The sequence below is a fragment of the Homo sapiens genome, chromosome 5 (assembly GCF_000001405.40).
Source record: "Homo sapiens chromosome 5, GRCh38.p14 Primary Assembly".
In the NCBI taxonomy this organism is placed as follows: domain Eukaryota; kingdom Metazoa; phylum Chordata; class Mammalia; order Primates; family Hominidae; genus Homo; species Homo sapiens.
In genome coordinates this window covers 178,183,882-178,190,352 of record NC_000005.10, presented here as the reverse complement: position 1 = coordinate 178,190,352, position 6,471 = coordinate 178,183,882, and the positions used below count along the sequence as shown (strand labels likewise).

General features: G+C 44.0%; 1 protein-coding gene across 1 annotated transcript; it reads left to right on the top strand.

Moving 5' to 3' along the window:
- Window positions 1–2,981: 2,981 nt before the first annotated feature.
- On the top strand, window positions 2,982–5,848 carry GMCL2 (germ cell-less 2, spermatogenesis associated). Its single transcript, NM_001358008.2, has one exon. The coding sequence runs from the start codon at window positions 3,054–3,056 to the stop codon at window positions 4,632–4,634; it is 1,581 nt and encodes a 526-aa protein (NP_001344937.1). The 5' UTR covers window positions 2,982–3,053; the 3' UTR covers window positions 4,635–5,848.
- Window positions 5,849–6,471: the final 623 nt, after the last annotated feature.

The window sequence follows — 6,471 nt, the reverse complement described above, 5'->3', positions numbered from 1 at the left end:
ACTCTTTATTTTATTTTATCTTACTATTTTTTTTGGAGATGGAGTTTCACTCTTGTTGCCCAGGCTGGAGTGCAATGGTGCGACCTCGGCTAACTGCAACATCCACCTCCCAGGTTCAGGCAATTATCCTGCCTCAGGCTCCAGAGTAGCTGGGATTACAGATGCATGCCACCACTCCCAGTTAATTTTTCTATTTCTAGTAGAGATGGGGTTTCACCATATTGGCCAGGCTGGTATTGAACTCCTGACCTCAAGTGATCCATCTGCCTTGGCCTCCCAAAGTGCTGGGATTACAGGTGTGAGCTACTGCAACTGGCCTGTTTTATTTTATTTTTGAGACAGGGTCTCATTCTGTCCCCCGAGTTGGAATGCAGTGTCACAGTCATGGCTCACCATAGGCTCGACCTCCTGGGCTTAAGTAATCCTCCCACCTTAGCCTCCCAAGTAGCTGGGACTACAGGTGCACATCACGATGCCCAATTAATTTTTAAAATTTTTTTGTAGACACCGGGTCTCACTACGCTGCCCAGGCTTGTTGAAAACTCCTGGGATCAAGCCATCCTCCTCGGCCTCTCAAAGTGCTGGGATTACAGATGTCAGTCATTGTACCCAGCCACTTCAACTCTTTAGACAAAGCTTAACTTTTTCAACCAATTGCCAATCAGAAAACCTTTGAATCACCTATGACCTGTAACTCCCCTGGAGTTGTCCTGCCCTTATAGGCTGAAGCAATGTGTACTTTACATGTATTGATTGATGTATTTGCTTGTAACCTCTGTCTCCCTAAAATGTATAAAACCAAACTATAACCCAACCATCTGAGGCACACTTTCTCAGGACCTCTTGAGACTGTACCCCAGGTCATGGTCACTCATATCAGCTGAGAATAAACTTCTTTTTTTTTTTTTTTTTTTGAGATGGAGTCTCGCTCTGTCACCCAGGCTGGAGTGCAGTGGCGCAAGCTCTGCCTCCCGGGTTCACGCCAGAGAATAAACTTCTTTAAACATTTTACAGAGCTTTTTTTTTTTTTTTTTTTTTTTTTTGGTCAACATAGACCATTCACCTGGCCCCTTAACTCCAACAGAAACTCCAGATTTGCCTTTGGAATCAGGAGGCTGAGCTTCCTGACTTCCCAACTCTGGGATTTAGAACAAGTCACTTTCCCTATTGAAACCTCTGTTTTCTTCATCTGGGAATGGGGCAGGCACTCACATAGGTTTGAGGAAGCCACAGGGCTGGTCACTCTTCACTTGTGTCCAGCGTCCCATCCACCTCCCTGGCATGACCTTGCCTCCCCCTGCAGCACTGGCCCATCTAGGGCTCCCCACACCTACATATCTGGCCCTGATGCCCCTCGCCAATCTCTGCCCCCACTGTACCAAAGATGGAGCCCCGCATGGCGACTCCTACATTGCTCTGGGGGCACAGACCTCCATCTGCCTGGAACAGCCTCCCACCTTCCTCATCAAGTCCTGTTTTCTTACAGGAAGACACCCACATGCCCCAGCCATCCCATCCCCAAGGACTGGCCAAGCAGTTCCAGCACACCCCTCGGGTGGTCTCAGTGTGTGCCCTTCTCCAGTTCCTCCGGGTCTGGGCCTGGGTCAGCCCTTTACACACACGGGGTTCCCAACAAGTAGCTTCCAGATGGCCTGGTGAGGCTGCAGGGCAAATTTCCAGGACCATGCCCCACTTCTCCACTCCATCCCCCAAGGACAAAAGCCTCCTCAATTCCGACATCCTAATCCTGCTGCCCCTGTCTCCACAGATCCTCCCCACAGAGAATCCCTGCCTATCCTGCCCAGGCCCTCTGCTTGCTTCTGCCTTCCCAGACCGGCTGCAGTGATCATTTCACCCAGCCATGGTCACTTTCACCATATTGGCCAGGCTGGTCTTGAACTCCTGACCTCGTGATCTGCCCACCTCGGCCTCCCAAAGTGCTGGGATTACAGGTGTGAGCAGCCACCGTACCTGGCTTGACTTCAAGTCTTTATTCTATTTTATTTTATCTTATTATTTTTTTCTGGAGACGGAATTTCGCTCTTGTCGCCCAGGCTGGAATGTAATGATGCGATCTTGGCTCACTGCAACTTCTGCCTCCTGGGTTCAAGCAGTTCTCCATTTCAGCCTCCCGAAAAGCTGGGATTACAGGCGTGCACCACCACACCTGGCTAAATTTTATATTATTAGTAGAGATGGGGTTTCACCATGTTGGCCAGGCCAGTCTCAAACTCCTGACCTCATGTGATCCACCCACCTTGGCCTCCCAAAGTGCTGGGATTATAGGCATGAGCCACCGAGCCTGGCCTATTTTATTTTATTATTTTATTTTATTTTTGTGCCTGGTCGCAAATTTACATTGGACTGGTTAGGCTCAAGCGTCTGGTACACACATTTTCCTTTGTCAGGTCTTGCAAATAAAACTTTGCTCCTAGGGAAGTGGTCCTTCTAAAACGGACCTTGGTTTTGGCTGCCAGATGAGAATTGCTTCCAGCAATGAAGAATGCTGTCCAAGGAGTTCAAGACCACCCGGAGAAACACAGTGAAACCTTGTCTCTAAAAGAAATTGTTTTAGGCCGGAGGCAGTGGCTCACGCCTGTAGTCCCAGCACTTTGGGAGGCCAAGGTAAGAGGATCACCTGAAGTCAGGAGTTTGAGACCAGCCTGGCCAACATGGGGAAACCCCGCCTCTACTAAAAATACAAAAATTACCCAGGTGTGGTGGCGGGCGCCTGTAATCCCAGCTACTCAGGAGGCTGAGGCAGGAGAATCACTTGAACCCGCGAGGCAGAGGTTGCAGTGAGCCGAGATCGCGCCACTGCACTCCAGCCTGGGCGACAGAGCAAGACTCCGTCTCAAAAAAAAAAAAAAAAAAAAATTGTGGGGGAGGGGTGCGGAGGTTGGAGGCGGCAGTGTCCGCTGCAACGGTTGGGGCTGCGCGTGAGAAGGTGGCGGTGTAGGCACCTGTGCTCGGGGAAGGCTGGCGGCGGCGGCCGGGCCATGGCCAGAGACCCCCTCCTCTGGGCTCCCTGAAGTCCTGGGGAGCCGTGACCCATGGGATCGTCGAGCAGCCGGGTGCTGGGCCAGCCGAGGCGAGCCCTTGCCCAGCAGGAACAGGGTGCCAGGGCCAGGGGCTCGGCCCGGAGGCCGGACACTGGAGACGATGCGGCGAGCTACGGCTTCTGTTACTGCCCGGGCAGTCACAAGCGCAAGCGGAGCAGCGGGGCCTGCCGCTACTGTGACCCGGACTCGCACAGGGAGGAGCATGAGGAGGAGGGGGACAAGCAGCAGCCGCTCCTCAACACCCCTGCAAGGAAAAAATTAAGGAGTACATCCAAATATATTTATCAAACATTATTTTTGAATGGTGAAAACAGTGACATTAAGATTTGTGCTCTAGGAGAAGAATGGCGATTACACAAAATATATTTATGTCAATCTGGCTACTTTTCTAGTATGTTCAGTGGTTCTTGGAAAGAATCCAGCATGAATATTATTGAACTGGAGATTCCTGACCAGAACATTGATGTAGACGCACTGCAGGTTGCGTTTGGTTCACTGTATCGAGATGATGTCTTGATAAAACCCAGTCGAGTTGTTGCCATTTTGGCAGCAGCTTGTATGCTGCAGCTGGATGGTTTAATACAGCAGTGTGGTGAGACAATGAAGGAAACAATTAATGTGAAAACTGTATGCGGTTATTACACATCAGTAGAGATCTATGGATTAGATTCTGTAAAGAAAAAGTGCCTTGAATGGCTTCTAAACAATTTGATGACTCACCAGAATGTTAAACTTTTTAAAGAACTCGGTATAAATGTCATGAAACAGCTCATTGGTTCCTCTAACTTATTTGTGATGCAAGTGGAGATGGATGTATACACCACTCTAAAAAAGTGGATGTTCCTTCAACTTGTGCCTTCTTGGAATGGATCTTTAAAACAGCTTTTGACAGAAACAGATGTCTGGTTTTCTAAACAGAGAAAAGATTTTGAAGGTATGGCCTTTCTTGAAACTGAACCAGGAAAACCATTTGTGTCAGTATTCAGACATTTAAGGTTACAATATATTATCAGTGACCTAGCTTCTGCAAGAATTATTGAACAAGATGGTATAGTACCTTCAGAATGGCTGTCTTCTGTGTATAAACAGCAGTGGTTTGCTATGCTGCGGGCAGAACAAGACCGTGAGGTAGGGCCTCAAGAAATCAATAAAGAAGACCTAGAGGGAAATAGCATGAGGTGTGGTAGAAAGCTTGCCAAAGATGGTGAATACTACTGGTGTTGGACGGGTTTTAACTTCGGCTTTGACCTACTTGTAATTTACACCAATGGATACATCATTTTCAAACGCAATACACTGAATCAGCCACGCAGCGGGTCTGTCAGTTTACGGCCTCGAAGGAGCATAGCATTTAGATTACGCTTGGCTTCTTTTGATAGTAGTGGAAAACTAGTATGTAGTAGAACAACTGGCTATCAAATACTTATACTTAAAAAGGATCAGGAACAAGTGGTGATGAACTTGGACAGCAGGTTTCTGACCTTCCCTTTATATATCTGCTGTAACTTCTTGTATATATCACCAGAAAAAGGAATTGAAAATAATCGTCACCCAGAAAATCCAGAAAACTGAAGATCTCATCAGTTGGAAACAGTAGCACTTTGAAAACTTTCAGGCCAGCTTTAATTTAATGGCCCTACTGATATTCACATCTAAGTTGACTAACAATGACAAAGGCCTTATGAACTGTACGGACAATACAGAAGACTATTCTTATCCTCATTGCATTTCTATGCATATACAAAAAAAATCATTTTAAAGCCAAGAAAATATCTGTCAAACCATTTCTGTCAGTACGATGTCAACTCATGCTTTTAATTCAGCATCAGCAGAAAATGACTGTAGGTAAATCTCACATTTATCTGCAACAAAATATAGATTTAATTTTTAGCTTAAACTTTGTTTCTACCTTATGTTAGTGGACCTCAGTTATCCATCTGTAAATTTATTTTTATTTGGCTAAAATAATCTAAAAGAATAATTTGGATGGCCAATTAGAAATGCTCTTTTGAGCTGGGGCATTTAAAGCTTTCCTTTAATATTTTTACCTGCTCATTATGATTCCTCCTTTTAGTCTAATATCTTTCCAGTTCATACTTGTTTTTAATCATTAAATACTTTCTTCCTGGTTTGGAGACTAAGCTGAGAAACTTTTTTTAAACTTAAGCATTGTCATATGCTATTTTTTAAAATTTGGCTTTCCTAGGATTTTAAGAACAATGAAAGTTAGCTTCACACCTTCAAATGATCTTGAATGCGTGAAAAATCAGTTTGATTCCAGGGATATTTCTTGTCTTACATGGTCTTTTCTTTGACAGTCTGTACACCTTTATTATTAGTTTTTGAGTTATTTATGTACCAGATATTATACTTTTAAATATTTTAATATTCTCTGATCTTTACAATTATTTATGTTCAAATTTTAGTTGGGAGTTTTGTTTCCTACTTAAGCTCAGGACTTGATACCCTCTGAGATGAGTGGCTTTGAGTGACATGCTAACAGCAATTTCATAGTAAATGTAAATAAGGTCAGAGGATCTAACATAGAAGCTGATGACGCATTAATGTAAAAATGGAACTTATTTTTGTCAAAAATAAGATGTACACTTGTCATGATTTATATATGTTGACCTTTTGTGTTTACTGCTGTTTTGAATAGAGCCATGTTCATTTTCTTTCCAGTTAGAGTAAGTACTTCTGTGGTTAATGTATATTTTTATTCTGGCTTTTAAAATGGGAATAATTTGTATGTATCTGTGCAAATAATAAATGCGCATTTGGAAAAAGATTAAGTAAGCTCTTATATGAAATGGACCAAAAAACCCCCCTTAATTGAAACCAACATTTTTTTTCTTTCTAGTTAGATTTTTTTCCAACTCCTTTTAACTTTTGGAATTTACTAATAATTTTTTTTCTTTCTTAATGATATGTCCATAGGTTCATAAATTGCTTTTTCTTTTAAAATTCATCTACTTGGTTTAACTTAAAGGAACCTTTTAAATGCCTCACCCTTGACCCCCAGAGCTGGAATTTAAATGTTTCTAATACAGTGATTTGGCTGTTATCAAGAGGTTACATTTCAGCTGGGCGTCAGCCGGGCATGGTGGCTCACACATGTAAGCACAGCACTTTGGGAGGCCGAGGCAGGCGGATCATTTGAGGAGTTTAAGATCAGCTATGAGCAACATGGTAAAACCCCATCTCTACTAAAAATACAAAATAAAAATAAGCCGGGCCTGGTGGCACACACCTGTAATCTCAGCTACTTGGGAGGCTGAGGCAGGAGAATCACTTGAACCCGGGAGGCAGAGGTTGCAGTGAGCGGAGATCGCACCACTGCACTCCAACCTAGATGACAGAGTGAGATTCCGTCTCAAAAAAAAAAAAAAAAAAAAAAAAGAGGTTACGT